Source organism: Homo sapiens, chromosome 6 (genome assembly GCF_000001405.40).
Source record: "Homo sapiens chromosome 6, GRCh38.p14 Primary Assembly".
Classification (NCBI taxonomy): domain Eukaryota; kingdom Metazoa; phylum Chordata; class Mammalia; order Primates; family Hominidae; genus Homo; species Homo sapiens.
The window spans coordinates 111689059-111706508 of NC_000006.12; the positions used below are offsets into that span (position 1 = coordinate 111689059).

At 42.2% G+C, this 17450-nt stretch overlaps 1 protein-coding gene and 1 long non-coding RNA gene across 22 annotated transcripts in view; one reads left to right on the forward strand and one right to left on the reverse strand.

Annotated features, from left to right (window-relative positions):
• Positions 1 to 17450, reverse strand: part of FYN (FYN proto-oncogene, Src family tyrosine kinase) — a 213121-nt gene that overhangs the window by 28727 nt on the left and 166944 nt on the right. For 13 of the 21 annotated variants that reach the window (XM_047418561.1, NM_002037.5, XM_017010651.2 and 10 more), the window contains 6 exons: positions 14941 to 15044; positions 13827 to 13976; positions 11046 to 11210; positions 7219 to 7398; positions 5570 to 5646; positions 5317 to 5470 (listed from right to left, as the gene is read on the reverse strand). In XM_047418561.1, coding sequence (XP_047274517.1) covers positions 5317 to 5470; positions 5570 to 5646; positions 7219 to 7398; positions 11046 to 11210; positions 13827 to 13976; positions 14941 to 15044 — 830 coding nt within the window. Of the gene's footprint in view, positions 1 to 5316; positions 5471 to 5569; positions 5647 to 7218; positions 7399 to 10456; positions 10613 to 11045; positions 11211 to 13826; positions 13977 to 14940; positions 15045 to 17450 lie in introns of all 21 variants that reach the window. The other 8 variants (XM_047418569.1, NM_153047.4, XM_047418570.1 and 5 more) reach the window with 2 other exon arrangements.
• Positions 795 to 5317, forward strand: LOC105377945 (uncharacterized). Its single transcript, XR_001743812.2, has 3 exons — positions 795 to 1171; positions 3100 to 3191; positions 5019 to 5317. It is a non-coding gene; the product is annotated as an uncharacterized LOC105377945 (long non-coding RNA).

Below are 17450 nucleotides of genomic sequence, written 5' to 3' on the forward strand. Positions count from 1 at the left end.
AAGTTGAGGTGATAAGGATGATTTTTACATTTCACAACTCTCAAAGAACTTTTATAGATAGCCCATGTAAGTTTCACACTAATGATGTGAGGTGATCATTTTTATTATCACCATTTTACAGATGATAAAAATGAGGCTCAAAGAGCTTAAGTAACTGGCCTGCGGACACCAAGCTTGTAAGTGACAGAGCTGATTCAAAGCCAGGGATCCTAATGTCCAACCCCTGGTTCCTCAGTCTCACTAGGCTGCCTCACTAGCAGCTTAGAGGCAAGTACAGTACTGGCAAATGACACACTAAGTGTGTATTCACCTTTTTAAAAATATGTCCACAAAATCTGTTAGGCAGTAACTGCAATTGCTAACCTAGGTTTGCCCTGTAATTACCAATTCCACTGGAGAACACAGCCCAGAGAGATGAGGGCATGTGTGTATCACCACAGCAGCCGTATTTATAATGGCCCCAATTTGGAAATAACCCCAAATGTTCAGGAACAGTAGAATGGAGGCTCTGTGATATATTTGTACAGTGGAATACTACTCAGCCATGAAAAGAACTACTGTTCCATGCAGCAATATGGAAGAATCTCACAGACATAATGGGAAAGAAGCCAGACACAAGAGTAATACTATAGGATTCATGTCTGTGATGTTCATTTACAGGCAAAACTTACCAATCTATGGTGAAAAGGGGAAAAAAGGCTATTTGTGGGGGTGGTTACTGACTGGGAGTGGGAATAAGGGGTCTTCTGGAGTGCTGGAGGTATTCTGTATCTTTATCTTCGGGGTGGATTCAGGGGCATATATGTACATAAAAATTCATCGGGCTGCACACTTCAGATTTGTTCGTTTTACTGTATGTGTGTTATAGCTCATAAAGAACAAAAAGGTATCCACAAAAGGAAGTTATGCTTACACACAGCCATGTCTGTCTGAACTTGTTAGGTTTAAATCAACATTAGTCGGCACTGAAAGCTCATGAAGAAAAAACTAGAGTCTGCAGAGGATTTTCCCACTGCTTCTCTCCTGCTTGTGCAATCTCTGAAGGAAGTGAGGGCTGGAGGGGCTGTGAATTTCCAGAAGCAAGGCTTGTGACATTGCCTATGTCGGGGGTCACAGGAGACAGGTGTGGTATGGACAAGAAGATGGACAGCAGATCCTTGTGGTGCCTGTGGTGAGTTCTGGAATGATTCTGGGAAGAAGGTGCAGTGGTGGGGTAGGGAGGTGGCTGTGACCAGAACTCAGGGGAGGGCTGGAAGGCTGAGGGCCCAGCTGTGGCAGTGAGACCCAGTGAGGGCACCCCGACTCATCTTTCTGGGCTTGGAGGACCAAGACCACCACCTCAAGCTCAACAGATCCAAACCCAAATGCATCCTCTTTCTCTGAAAGTAAGATCTTCCCAAGTACTCATTTCTGTTATTGGTAATGCCATTCTCACAATCACCTGCATCTGACTACTTGGGAATTATCTTTGATTCTTCTCTCCCTTTCCTGAATAGTGTTTGAGACTTTCCATGTATCTACAATCCATTCACTCATTTGTTTATTCCCCAAGAACTTAGTATTGTACCAGATATACCAACAGTAACAAGCAACATTTATCACTATGTGCTGGGTACCCTGTTAAACACTTTACATGCATTGTTTCACTTAATCTTTGCAAAAATGCATACAGCAGACAAAATGTCTTTCCATTTTACAGATAAGTAAACTGAGGTAGGCAAAAGTTAAATAACTTGCCTAAGACCCCAGAACATCAGGTGGTAGCGCTGGATTTCAAAACCAGTTCCATCTGACTTCAACAATCCCCCACGTCTTCCTCCTCATGCTTGCTGACTGTCGTGCAGTCTTAGGCTTCTTGATATCAGTAGCTCCTAGTAAAGTCCTTTCATAGATAAGGCACTCAAATAACTGATGTTGGCATTATTTAGAGACTCTGATTGGGCAGAATTTAGCAAAGTGTTTGTAACTAAAGACGAACTATCTGCTGTAATTGAGTGAGATGTCCAGGGAATAGAGAATAAGCAATCGCCCCAAATTTCTAGTTGCTTCTAGAGTGCTGTCAGTGGAAGACCACCTCACAGGCTCAGGGCCTGGCCTTGACCACCTCCCTGACATGGGCTGCTGCTCAGTCCTGGGTAGCTGGGATGGTGCGAAGTAAGGAGCACAGGAAGGACTGTGGAACCCAGCTCCACACTCCAATTCTGCTTGTGCCCTATGCAATGCCACCTCATCTGCCCAAGGGGTGACAGATATTTCCGTGCACGCTGAGATGGGAAACTCACAACTGTTTTGAAAACAATTGTCATTCATGGTCCTAAAATATCTGTGTTTGGTGCATGTTTCCGAATGCCGCCTGCATTCCCATAATCAAGATGCAGCATGGCTGTGGCCTGTGGGTAACATAAAACCCGACTTGCAAATATTATTAGGCATGCGGACCAGCTGTCTGGAGGAGCTGATTAATTCCCAGCAGAAACTTCAGCACACAGCACACATGCCATCTGCAGAGTACACCAGCAGACACACACCAGGCCCTTTCTGCCTCGTAAAGCAGCCAGGGCAGGGCAGGCCCTCGGGAGGAATTTTATAAACAGCTGGGTTGTCCCAGTGCTGGAAAAGGAAGGTCTCTCCAACTCCCTCATACAGACACACTAGAAGGTGCTCCTTAAAAACAGTCCCATAAAATAAAGGGGAAAAGGGATGTATGACTAATCCTCTCTATCTTTATTTTCTGTTCTTTTGATCACTGACTTGATGAGATGTGGTCAGCATAGCTTAGAATGGTAGATGCAACAGGGTCAGCCATTTCTGGATTCAAATCCTGGCTCTGCTATTTTCCTAGCTGTGTGACTTTGTACAAGTTACTTAACCCCTCTGAGTCTATTCCTATTGTTTCCCTGCTTGGTCCTCACGTTTCCTCTCAGGCCTGGCACTTGGAAGGTGTTTTATAAATGGCTCTGCCACTCCCTACCCCTCTGCTGCAGGACAGCATGTCTTTTATTCTCCTGGGACATCCTGGGACCTGCCTTGCCAAGCTTCATTTCCCCCCCCCCCAGTTCAGCTCTCCAGTTCACTTACTTCTTACTTCTCTCTTTCTAGTGTTTGGCATGGATTTGAAGGTGTTTGGGAAAGGGAGGAAAGAAGAAAAATGTTTGAAGAAGGAAGGACGGGACCCTCGATTTGGAAATTAAGTAAGGAAACGCAGTACAAAGGCTAAAAGAACAAGGTTGGCCTTTTGAAAGGGGCTCTGACGGCACCTGGGGACATGATGGTGCAGCTGGGCAGCCGGCAGAAGGGCAATCAGGACAGCTAATGCAGAGGAACGGCTGGGGGCCAGGCTGAGGGCAGCAGCCTGGGACCCGCTCAGGGCAGCAGCCTGATGGGAGGGGAACCAGCGAGGGTGCCAATCACCTAGGGCCACAGCCTGAGGAGCCTCACTCCAGTGAATAAGGCGTGGACTAAACCCCCAGGCCCTATTAACAGCACCCCTGCCAGCATCCTCTGGCTCCTGGCCTGGCAACCTTTTCATTTACCCATGGTTCATGAGCGTTAACCACAAACCCTGTAGAGTTCAAAGTCCAGGAAAAGGGGAAAAACTCGACTCACACACAGAAGGGTGAGCACACGGCTCTATTCTAGCCCTTTCCTTAATCAAATATTCATGTCTCACAACCTTTGCCCACTCTCCTTCTGAGTCTGAGGAGCTGGGATCTGACAGACTTGCCTCAGGATAAAGTCCCTCATTCAGGGCAAGTCTCAGATCCACTGGCACTCAGGTCCTCTCGGCTCACCTTGCCTCAAATTCACATGCACATTCCTCTCTGGACGGCCAGTGCCAATCAAAGCTGCAGTGCGCCTTTGATTAGAGATACAGCATGCCATCTGGCCCAGCACCGGGGGTGTATGTGTGTGTGTAACGCACGGGTATGCTTGCTGTGTGGGCATTTGGCTCCAGGACAAGAACTGCCACGTGTTGGGGAAATTCAAATAGCTGAGCTGTCTGACCGACATGTAATTCAGCATTTGGACAGTATCGGTAGCAGCCAGGGTCTTAGTTTAACATTTTTCCTCATCACTTGAGGCTGCTAAGAATGCTTCCATTCTCAGATCAAATGAAGGGAGAGGATAATTGGCATGAAATGAAAGAATCAAGAGGAGGAGGAACAGGGGCAAGAGAAGGAGAAGGAAAAAGAGAAAGAAAAGGACTCCAGAGCTGGCCATTATGAAATGCAGTAGAAAGCATCACCCTGTAATACATTCCAGTCACTGCTCCGCTTTGCTTGGGATGACTAGGCTTTGGTTAGAAACACCAACAATGAAAGTTCCCCCTTGCCCCAGCTATAAACATTATATTCTACATGAGGAGCCTATACTCGATTGCAAACCACATACTTAATCACACACTTTTACCTGGTGACCACTTTGTCAGTATCTGGGAAGAAGGAAAATATTCCTAAAAACTCCTTTCTAGTATCTGGTGCTCTAATAGCACCTGAAAAGCTGCCCCACTGGAATGGCTGCTGAGTTGGGATATATTTTACTTAAAGGCTAATTTCTATAAATTTTTGCAGAGGGTGGGATGGCGGGGATGATGAAAGGAGGTAGAGATTTTCGAGTAACTATGCTGTTACCATCTGTAGTGTAAGTCCACTCTCCACTCTCCCTCTCCCTGCTCTGGACCCATAAGGATTCATCGCTGAGCTCCTGTGACCTCTACTTCTGGTTGGGTCTGGCAGAAGACCCAGAAGTGGGCTAGAGTGGGGTTGGGTGTGAATCCCCAGATCCATCCCTGACGTCTCTCTTTACTGAGGAGGCCCTCTCTGTGCAGTGGCCCATTCTGACTTCTTGTGCCCACTTCTCTGCCCCCTTACCTTTGAGGCCTTAGTTCTGTTGCTGTTACAAGCTCTGAGACACTGCACCATGCCCTGTTGGCTTTCTGAAACCCTGCCTGTGCCTTTGTAAAAAACACAGGCATGTGAGAATGTGAGAATAAATGTGGTCTCTTTCTCCAAAAACAGAGTATTCTAGGCCTGGACGCTGTGAGGAGACCAGCATGAGCCAAGAGGACCACAGCAGCAAATACCAATACCCACCCACCCACCAAAAACCAATATCTCATCCCTCCACTGGGCCCACAACAGTCTCCCACCTGCAGAGCTGTCAAATTCCTGCCAGATCAAGGTGTCCAAACCAAGCTGAAGAATGACATTTCAAGTATTTTCTGAAGGAAGGGAAGGGAAGGAGGAAGGAAGGGCTGTGCAGTAAGTGACTGTTCTCACAGCTGTGATCACGAGCCATTGTCATTCAAGTGCCCACCTTGTCTTGCTGTGTACTCATTGTCTTCTATCAATCGGGCCAATCCGAAGTCAGCAATCTTGCATATGAGTCCATTCCCCACTAGAATGTTTGCTGATCGCAGATCTCTATGGATATAATTCATGCGCTCGATGTAAGCCATTCCTGCAGCCACCTGTGGAAACCCAGGGAACAGGACATGTTACACCACGACCCAATGTACTTAGACACGTCATTAAATCTATGGCACATCAAGTTACCCTGCAGGGCCTACCTGTGCTGCCATGTCCACAAGATTTGGTAATTTCAGAGCTCTTCCTTCTCCATCTTTTAAGAAATCCAGTAAACTTCCTATGAACAAAACATAAAATCATTTCAATTTACTTTGAAAGATAATTCCCAACAGAGAGCTGTATTTGGTTTTCTTATTAAAAGTAATAAGGTAGTCAAATGGAATAATGCCATCCACATGGGGGGACAAAAAGGTTTATATAAAAAAGCAGGGTAGAAAAAAGTATAGGCATGGAGAAGTAACAGTTACCTTTTAAAAACAAACAGCATTAATTCCATTTCTAGGAATAACAACATATATTTGATAAAACTAGAAGAAATGGGACTCAATCTCCCTGTATGTCATAAAGAGGAACCTATGAAGAACTGCACCTCTTCAATCCCATTCCCCAATCACCCCTGCACAAAGAATTGATGTGGGGAAAATACAGCCCAGCTGAGTGGTCCAAAACTGTGGTCCTGGGACCAGCAGCTACAATAACACAAGGGAACTTGTTAGATATGCAAATTCTCAGGTCCCATCCCAGATCGAGTAAATCAGAAACTTTGAAGGTTGGGTCCAGAAACTTGGGTTTTAAGAAGGCCTACAGGTGATTCTAATAATACAAGGTAAAGTTTGAGACTCACTAGCTTAGCTTATTTACAGATTTTGAATCAAGAAAAGACAATCTGAAGAATATGGGTGGGGCAGATGGTTCCCCTTAATTAGATCACAGCCAGCCAAGCCTTAAATCAGACATCTGAAATGAAACATTGGAAGCTTCAGAGCCACTATTATAACACAGCCTAAGAAGGCTTAGAACTAACACCAAAGCAGGGATAATCATTTGCAGAAGCTGGAGGCTTATGATGGTCATCAGTGATATTTTATGCTTTAATCACAAAGTTATTTACAAAATAACCCTGGATACAAAGGACAAACCGTTTGCCAGAAAAAAAAATTCCCATTAAATTTTAAAAGAAAGTACATGGAAAAGAAAAATTACACTGGTATCCTCTGATAAACAATGTATTGCCTTTTAAGGCTGTTTCTTGTTTGGTTCATCTATTTTTCCAAAACAAAATGATCTCTGGCCTTATCCCTAACAATGCTGGTTTGATTAGGAAGACAGAGGGGTTGTAGGGGAGAGAATGTGAGAATAAATGTGGTCTCTGAAAGCATGTAATTTCATCGCCTGACGTTTAAGAAGAGAGCTGGAAATAAAAAAGATGTTGAAATGATGGAGACTAAACTTAGCTTAGAGACCAGTGTCTGATATTAATTGTTTAGCCCTGCAAAAAGGAAATGTAACAAAAGCTACTACATTCAAAATAACAGCAAACTATCATAACCCTCCGTACCACCCTGATATTAAAAATGAATGTTTTAATTATGGAGAGGAGCTTGAATTTCTGACACACATAACATGTAAAAAGTATTTGGCATTTCATAAGGATTTGGGGTGGGGTAAACGCAAGGTTAGTCTGTTTTAAAAAATGTTTTCATTAACGAGCACATAACTGGTGGTTCCTAATGGGAATACTTGACCCAGGCAGAAACTAGAAAAGTAGCAAGTAGGAAACTTCCATTTCTCTCCCCTAAACAACCCCTTAAGGCACTGTGAGCTGGAGACAGGAGAGGTGTTGCCCAACCTTTGTTCATATACTCGGTGACGATGTAGATGGGCTCCTCAGACACCACTGCATAGAGCTGGACCAGCTTGTCGTGCTTCAGCTTCTTCATGATCTGCGCTTCCTCAAGGAATGATTCGGGGGACATTGTGCCTGGTTTAAGAGTCTTTATGGCTACTTTTGTGTTTCCATTCCAGGTACCTACAAACATCCCAGAATATGAAGTCAAACCAAAGATCTTCTTTTGATGGAAAAAGGTTTTGACCACCAGCTATTTGCATAAGATTAGATTTTAAATTTAAAACACTTAATACAGTTTTTGTTGAACAAAGACATTCAATTGCAAGGACTCTGTCAAGTATTTTAACAGAAAAAATGAGTTTATTTGTGGTTATGGCTAAGATGGCTATATTAAGATTTATAACTCATTAAAATTTTTTTAAATTTTGATATATTACCACTCTCTCTTTTTTTGGCTCAGTCATATGATTACACATTTATACCAAAAGCTCTGCACCATACAGTGATGAAAGTCCAGGGGTTGGAACAGGCCTGGCCATCTAATAGCTGTCCCTTAGGGAGTACAGTGTGCATGGAAGAAATTAGATTATTTAAGTTTATGGGGTGTGCCATTTAAAAATATGGCACCACATGAGGATGTCTGGAAATTACCTCTAGACTTTCAATGTCTGCAATGGACAAGTTACTTGACTGAGTCCTTGCACAGGTGTGCCAAGCATGCTGATAAGCACTGGCAAGGAGCTCACAGTCTGCTTGCCAATACTTCAACAAGGTAAGGCAAATTTCCTCAGCTTTACTGATGGCTAGCCACAAGAACAATGGCTTCTGTCAGGTAGGTAGACAGGGGAAATTAAACAGCAGCTGAGAGGGAACAGAAATATTTAAATTTAGCATGTTAAAAAAAAATCTAGCAAATCTGAAGGCAAGGCCTGGATTATGATTGTCCTCAGTTACCTCATCTGTAAAATATAGGAATGGAACTGGATTATCTTTTGGGTCTCTTTCAGCCCCAGCATTCAAAAAACAAAACCATACCTAGGTTCTTTGTGTATTCCATTATTAGACCTATGATGCTTAAGAATAACTTTATAAAGGGGAAGAAATCTGCTAATTTAGATTATTTTCTATTTGAAAAAGAAGACTGGTTTAAATTAAGATTTTTATATTTAATATAACTGACTTTGGAATTTAAGGATTCTGTAAATTGGAGTTCTTATTATCCTGTTAAAGACATGGTTCATACAATTACAACATGCAACCTACAAAATATAAATTATGAAAAAACAAGTGGCTTAAAGAAAAGTTCATTTAAACTTCATAAAATATCTGCCCACTAAGCATTCATGGGAAATTTGACAATTTATAAGTGATCTTTGCTATTTAAGAGTCAGCACCCAAAATTCTAAATACATTAAGATCTTCCTCTGTAATACAAACTTCGTCAATTACACAGACATCCATCCCAATTCTGATGGGCATGTTGTCTTGTGTTTATTGGAAAACAAAATGTGAACAGTATATGTAATGATTTAAAGTTGATATTTGTAAAATTTGAAAATAAATTTTCTAATAGGGTCCAATTCTCTGTGATTGTGTGAGTAATTTGACTAAAATCCTCTATTATTAGAGGGTGAATGAGGAAGAAGGAGGTCATATATTTTACGATACTTGAGATTAAGTCCAGAGAGAGATGGACACAATAATGTGGATTTATTAAACTAGCTAACTCATACATATATATGTGTATGTCTGTCTACTACCTATTTATCCACCTAACATACCTACATACATCTTTGTAGTACTTATCATTTGCTGGGCTATGTTTTAAGTGCTTTAACTGTATTAACTCTTTTTTTTTCTTTTCTTGAGACGGAGTTTCGCTTTTGTTGCCCAGGCTGGAGTGCAATGGTGCAATGGTGCGATCTCCGCTCACCGCAACCTCCACCTCCCAGGTTCAAGTGATTCTCCTGCCTCAGCCTCCTGAGTAGCTGGGATTACAGGCATGCACCACCATGCCCGGCTAATTTTGTATTTTTAGTAGAGGCAGGGTTTCTCCATGCTGGTCAGGCTGGTCTCAAACTCCTGACCTCAGGTGATCTGCCTGCCTTGGCCTCCCAAAGTGCTGGGATTACAGGTGTGAGCCACTGTGCCCGGCCACCTGTATTAACTCTTTTAATGCAGACCACACCTAAAGATCTATACCCACACGTAGCAAAGGGTACTGATCGATATTGTTTTTAATGAGTTCTGAGGAAGGAAGATAGAGGATTCCATAAGTATTAATATTGTTTTACTGAAACATGTTTTTGAGTGGGGCCTAAACCCATGAATTGTTTCTAAGCAAAGCTGTAACTGACCCAAAAGGGCTATAAAAGAAATTACAAAGGCCCAGTGCAGCCAGCCTTATCAATGACAATCAAATAAAGAGAAGTATGTATCTCTACTGAATATCTACTATCTGCAAGGGACTTTAAACATATTAACCCATGTAATCCTAAAAATAATCCTTTAAATAAGTATCATTCCAGCCGGGCGTGGTGGCTCACGCCTGTAATCCCAGCACTTTGGGAGGATGAAGCTGGCAGACCACCAGGTCAGGAGATCGAGACCATTCTGGCCAACATGGTGAAACTCCGTCTCTACTAAAAATACAAAAATTAGCTGGGCGTGGTGGCAGGCACCTGTAATCCCAGCTACTCGGGAGGCTGAGGCAGGAGAATCACTCGAACCTGGGAGGTGGAGGTTGCAGTGAGCCAATATCGCGCCATTGCACTCCAGCCTAGTGATAGAGCAAGACTCCGTCTCAACAACAACAAAAAGGTATCATTCCAATTTTACAGATGAAAAAACTGAGGCTTAAAGGAGTTAAATATGCCCCTTGTTCGTGGTTAATTAGCTAGTAAGGATTCAAACCCAGGCCCATTGAGCAAAACGTCCATGGTCTTTCTTATGGCTGCCCATATACAGTATCTTACCTTCCCATTTCTTAGGAAGAGGAAACACCAGATTCATAGTGTACTGGTTTCCTGTTCTGCGGGTGCCTTAATTAACCACATGAAGTAGGACAGATGAGCACAGCAAGGTATCAGCATATTCTGAAAATCTGGATGGCCTGTGCCCGTCTAGTTATCCAGGTTAAGTGTCTTTGTCCCAACGGCTGTGTGTGCATTTTTGTTCAAAACCATCCTTTTAATCGGCTTTGAGATGCAGCCAAAACAAAATGTGCCCTCTGCCTTACCAAGCCACACTTCAGCGAAACACCCCTGACCCAGCTTCTTCTCCAGACACAACGAACGACGTGCAACTTCCCAAGCATCTTTAGCCAATCCAGAAGTTTGTGGGGTACAACTCGATGCAATCACAGTTAAGTTAAAACACAAACCATCAGCTTTCTCTACAGGAAAGGGAATTAATAAAGAAAACACAGTCCTTATAATCCATAATTATGCATGCACTAGGAAAGATGGAAGGTGACTTGCCCGTTAGGATGACACTCAACAAATATTTGCTTTTGGAAATGAAGAGCAAGATATTTTATGGCAGCTGGAACATTCCTTGGACCATTTGCTGGTTTATGAATTGAGAGTCATGTAATAGTACAACTTGAGCCATTTGCCAATTTTGCCCACTTACTATCTTTTTTTTTTTTTTTTTTTTTTTTTAGGAATTCCAGAATGTTAAAACCAAAACTGAAATTATTATTCCCCACTATTAGTAATTCAAACTTTCTTCCCGGTCACGCAGTCTTTATTTTCACCTTCCATCTTTGGTGTTTGGGATCTTCCAAACGGGGAAGCTAATAAGAGAGTAATTGAGTCTCAGCATACCCATCCATACTTCCCCAAACTGCCCATTTCCCAGTCTCTTGATCAACTGCAGGGATTCTCGAGGGATTTCCCAGACATCTTTGGTTTTGACAGACAGATCGGTAAGCCTTGGCATCCCTTTGTGACAGGGAACTACTAGGCGGCAGCAGAGACCTGCAGCTCTCTCTGATGGAGCAGGGCAGGGGCAGGAGAGGGAGAGAAGAGCAGAACACATGTAATGACAACACTCATAAGTGTAAACCCACACTAGCGGCGCACAGTGCTCCTCAAACAGTGCTACTACACCAGCAGACGACCACACACATCGTGGAACACTAGCAGCACACAGCGCTCCTTAAACAGCGCTACACCAGCAGACGACCACACACACGGTGGAAGATCAGACGCCACACACGGAAACATTTTCATTGGAGGTAGAAGAGAGGACGTTTTAAATTTAGACTACTCCATGAGCCCAGGTACGATACAGTCTATACATAGACATACACGCAGACTGCTTTGGTTTCTGTACTCACTGAGGAAGAAAAACGTTTTCAGCTCAACGTGCTAATAACATGTTTTTGGGAATGCTGAAAATATCCTTACTAATTTCAAACAGTGGTTTTGGATTAAAGAATGTCAATATGACTGTTCTTCCCCACCTTTAGTATCTAGATTACCCAGGGGATTAGGGATCTCTCTATATGACTATACTTAAAATTATAACTTTAGTGGAGGATCCTTCTATAGGACATTAAACTGTTATAAACTAGTAAGGTTGAAGATTATAACTGGTGGGGAAAAAAAGAAGTAACTTTTTTTAGTGATTTCTTCGCTTTCTAACTGATTCCATTCCACCATGTCAGATACTCCTGGGCTGCTTCTTGGATATTTTCCATTAAAAAAAAAAAAACAACTTTTTAACAGTCTTCGACGTATAATTTAGGTGTCTGGTTTGAAAGGAGAAAGAATGGAAACTAAAATTCACAGAAATTCAAGATGTGAAAGAATGTATTCTTTATAAAAAAAAGAAGAAAGGAAAAAGTAGTTAACACTCGGAGGTTTTTATTCTTTCTTTGTCTTCTTTCCTTCTTTCTTTCTCTTCTTTTTTAAAAAGAATATAACCTTTTAGAATCTGGCAGTGCTAAGGGGAACTTAAATGCCAAGTAAAAATCAGTCAGGCGAAAAAAGGTAACAAAGAATAAGAAATCAGGGAGTGACAAAAGCTGACAGAGCCTGCCTTGTGAGGTGGACAGACCTCCCGCTCCCTCCTGGCAGCCCCCGGACCCAGGGAAAGCAGATGTGCTGCTGGGCTGTAACTTGCTTTTTACTCCTTTCTTTTTGATGGAATCAGGCTCTGAGATGTTTAGGTAGGAAATTATTTATGTGTCAGCATTTCAAAGGCATTTTATTGTGTGAGAGAGAAAGAGGGAAGAGGGAAAGCCAATATAAAAACAAGTCTAACGTGAGATGGATTTTTTTTCCCCGAGATTAAAAAAAGTGTCTATTGTTCATATCCCCTCTTTCCTTCCAGCTTTACAATGTTATTAAGGTGCCCTTTCGAACACAGTATTTTCAAATGATCCAAACCCTGGGGATCCTGCTGATGTTTGGCTGTAATGAAATATATTTCAGCATTTGAAAAATCCTTACAACATGCAGGCATTTTGAGTATATCACTTAAGCTCAGGGAGATATTTTGTTCCATTTCTCCCAAATGTTTCATTAGAATCCACATAAACCGAGTTAGCCAATGCCATAATCAACTAGTACTGCAAGTGCTGTTAATATTTTCTATTGTTCATTAGTGCAAGGGATCAACAGACATTTCTTATTGTCATTTTCGAAAGATTGCTTTTTCATGCCAAAAATTATACATACATATTTCAATGATTGTGCACAGAGCAATAGTAGAGGTAAATCATATACTATTTTTGAGTCTTGCCTTTGTCCTGGAGAACAATAGAAAATGGAGAAATGGGTCACACAAAAAAATATCTCTAGGCTTAATAGGATATAGACATGTGTCTATACATGTGCACCTATATCTATAGGCACATGTGAACATGTATTATATAGTGGCATATAATACTTGCTAATCTAGGAAAGAAAGCAATCATTTTAACAATTGCACATAAAACCAGTCTTTGATAAAATGTATAAACTGCATATCTAATAATTATATGTTTTCAGAAAGAACAAAATAATGGTGATATCTGGGTGTTAGGACAGAAACTGATGTACATTATAAAAGTTTAATTTAACACAATAGACATAATAGATCTAAGAGCTGTGGGTTGTGTAAGTCTAAGCCTAGTTAGGAAACAGCAGTATTGGTGGGGAACATGATAAATGGCTTGCATGAGAATGAAATGTACGTGCAGCTATTCCTGCAACAGTGCTGAGGGTAAAGTGATAGTGGAAACACAATATTCCTTGTAGGAGTCCCCATGTAAGCGCCCTCCGAGAGACTGCTTTCTCACATGCAACGCGGGGAATGGGAAAAGACAACTTGAAGATGAAAAAACAAACAACTTTTAAAATTTAACCTATTGCTTTCTACTTGGGAAACAAAAATATTATAGAATCTTCGGACAAACATGTGGAACTAATAATAACAACAGTAGAACAATAGCAATAGAACCTATACAGCCAAGCCCTACCATTAAGGGCTGGCAAAGAAAACATACTCTATAAGTGATTTTGTACATATTAGTTTTACCCCTTTCCACTTTCCTGCTCTGGGCCTATCCACTCCCTCCAGCATCCAAATGGTTAGTAGGTAGTTAGAATTAAGGTTACCTGAGTAATGTTGTACAAGCTGCTGAAGTGTTTCAAACTGGGCCCGGGTGGTAATGTAGTATCCACCATTGTCAAGTTTGCGAATTTTATAATGTTTGACATGGTCTCCTTTCATATCATCCCAATCACGGATAGAAAGTGAATAGGCACCTGGTAAACGTGGAAAGCATTAGCAGCTCCAATCATTTAGAGTATCAGCTTGCTTTTTAGGCCTCATTTTCTTGACTCTGATTAATAATTACCAAGGATGCACACACACATGTACACACACACAGCATCTCCACTCAGTAACAGGAAGAAGATGCTTCTTGATGTTCTGCAAATGTCAGAATATATTAGCAATAAAATGATTCTGCCCTTGAGACTGAAAGCTTCCTGGACATTTTTCTTAAACACACTGTTCGGTACCCCTTGTTGCATAATACAGCGTAGACTCAATTCCAACACTCCTTTCCCCCAAGGGTAAAGAAGGACCACGATGAATGGCTGAGCTTGCTTCCCTTGTCTTCTCTACCCAGGGGCATACTGGGAGGTAGCAGCAGCATGTGCAAAAGAAATCTAAGGCTTGTTTCTCTAGAAGTGAGCTTCAAGCTTCTGCTTTACAACACTTTTTACAGGAATGGATAATCTGGCAAATTAAGCTAGAGGCCACTACTCTTTTCTTCCTTGACCTGTCTCCTCTTGTGGGTTGTAAGGAGTTGTTAAATAATGAAAAGTCCAACAGTTGGAGGAAGAGAAGTGAAGTCCTCAGTTATTTAAAAAACAAAAGGAAAGCAAAAACAACCTGTATGACTGGCACCTGAGGAACTAAGATTTCAGAAAATCAAAATTCTAAAGGACTTCTGAAAATTCTACGATCTTGTGTGCCTGGAGCAGTGTAGCTGCATCCAGCCCGTTTCAGGAGGAAGGTCTTGATTTGGGGCCTCTGTAGTTCTTTTGGTGCTGTCTGCAGTTTTAGAGCCTGGAGGGAAGACTGAAAACAGGACTCCACTCACAAGGCAGGGAGGGTATGTGCCATTTTAAAATCCTTGTACATTAGAGATAAGCCTTTCATCCCCTCTGACTAATCCACAGATTTGAATGACAAGCCAACTTCTTCAACTCGTTATCTTACCTTTGGTGGTTTCACTCTCGCGGATAAGAAAGGTACCTCTTGGGTTTCCAAAGGACAATAGCTGTCGCTCAGCATCTTTTCGGCCAAGTTTTCCAAAGTACCACCTTTAAATTAGATCAAGGAAAGAAAATATTTTGAAATAGTCATTTACAAAATGCAACAGCATAGGCTTTTTTTTTGCCCATGAATTCCCCTCTCCTCCAATTTAGTCCTTAACCTTTCCCTGGATGTATTTTTTTTCTAGCTTAATTCAGTTCCTTTTCAATCTATCCTGGATTCTATCCCTAATTCATCTCTTTCACTCTTTAAAAAAAATCAGATTTGAGTTGTGGGTTGTTTTCCTCCCCTCTAGACATGACCAGAACTGGTTTGTGTTAAAACTGCCACCTGTATGCAAAAAACCAGAAATCTAAGACCTTGATTTGAAATGGTTACTGCAGGAGACCCTTTCCACACTTATCTAAAAGACTCTAGTCTGGGCATGGTGGCTCATACCTGTAATCCCAGCACTTTGGGAGGCCGAGGTGGGCAGATCACCTGAGGTCAGGAGTTTGAGATCAGCCTGGCCAACATGGTGAAACCCCAGCTCTACTAAAAATACAAAAATTAGCTTGGTGTGGTGGTGGGCACCTGTAATCCCAGGTACTCGGGAGGCTGAGGCAGGAGAATCACTTGAACCTGGGAGGCCCAGGCTGCAGTGAGCTGAGATTGTGCCATAGTATTCCAGCCTGGGTGACAGAGCAAAGCCGTGTCTCAAAACAAAACAAAACAAAAAAAACAAACGCCAGGCATGGTGGCTCATGCCTGTAATCCTAGCACTTTGGGAGGCCAAGGTGGGTGGATCATGAAGTCAGGAGATGGAGACAATGCTGGCTATCATGGTGAAACCCCATCTCCACTAAAAATACAAAAAATTAGCTGGGTGTGGTGGCATGCACCTGTAATCCCAGCTACTCAGGAGGCTGAGGCAGGAGAATTGCTTGAATCTGGAAGGTGGAGGTTGCAGTGAGCCAGGATTGCGCCACTGCACTCCAGCCTGGGCAACAGAGCGAGACTCTGTCTCATAACAAAAAATAAACAAAAAAACAAAACTCTTGAATCTCTTGATATCTAAGCATTATTGTAACTGCTGGGAAATAACAAAACACAGTCTTAATGTATATGAAGATAATCAAGCATTAAAAAAAGTCAGATTAGATAGATATGATATGAATAAAGGAATAGTATTTTCAATAACTTCCTCCCTATAAGAATTCTGAGAAAAACGCCCATGAGTACTTACTTGTATTTTGTTTTCCTCCCCTAGGTGTGTGAGGACTTGGATAAGTAAAGGCATTTATTTACCAAGCACCTGGATTGTGATCTGTGTTCATCATCTTCTTCTTCTTTTTTTTTTTTTTTTCTTGAGACAGGGTCTCACTCTGTCACCCAGGCTGGAGTGCAGTGGCATAATCATAGCTCACTGCAGCCTTGACCTCTCCAGGCTCAAGCAATCTTCCTACCTCAGCCTCCTGGGACTAAAGGTGCACATCACCACACCTGCTAACTAAAAAAATTTTTTTTGTAGAGGCTAAGAGTGGTGGCTCATGATTGTAATTCCAGCACTTTGGGAGGCTGAGGCAGGCAGATCACCTGAGGTCTGGAGTTCGAGGCCACCCTGGCCAACATGGTGAAATCCCAACTCTACTGAAAATACAAAAATTAGCTGGGCATGGTGGCATGTGCCTGTAATCTCAGCTATTCGGGAGGCTGGGGCACGAGAATTGCTTGAACCAGGGATGTGGAGGTTGCAGTGAGCTGAGACAGGGCCACTGCACTCTAGCCTGGGGACAGAGTGAGACTGTCTCCCTATGTTGCCCAGCATGGTCTCAAACTCCTGGGCTCAAGTGATCCTCTCGCCCTGGCCTCCCAAGTGCTGGGATTACAGGAGGGAGCCATCACGGTGGACCCTGTACATCTTTTCTTTGGCACAACTGTAAGAACTGGTTACTGTACACCTTTGAGATCTGTGCCCAGTCAAAAAGCATGCCCTTAAAATGACTTGGTGTTGCAGATATTTCAATATATTATCCCTGAAGAAACTAATGATACTCTGTGCCACTTTAGGAGGCATCACATTAAGTCACCTCAAGACTTTTGTTATTTGCCTTATATCCTCCCCCTGCACTTTCAAGCCTTAACCAAGCCTGGCAATTAGTTACTATTTCAGCACTAGGTGCTGAATGAGCAGCAGGTGCCCCCAAAACCCAAGGGAGAATGCTGGAGCATTCAATTGGAATCTGTGTGTGGGAACCATTTTTAGAATATTTAACTGTGAAAGAATCCAGATTCTAAAATGAAATTTCAATTCATTATGCTTGAATATAGGTATCATGAGTTCACTGTCAAATTCTTTTGTGAATTAAGTTTCACTGAAGAAAAGAGACATTGCGTATTAGCTCCTCAGTGACTTTTAGAAACACCAAAATGTGCAACAATTCTTAATCTAGCATTAGGTGGCGTAAAGACTA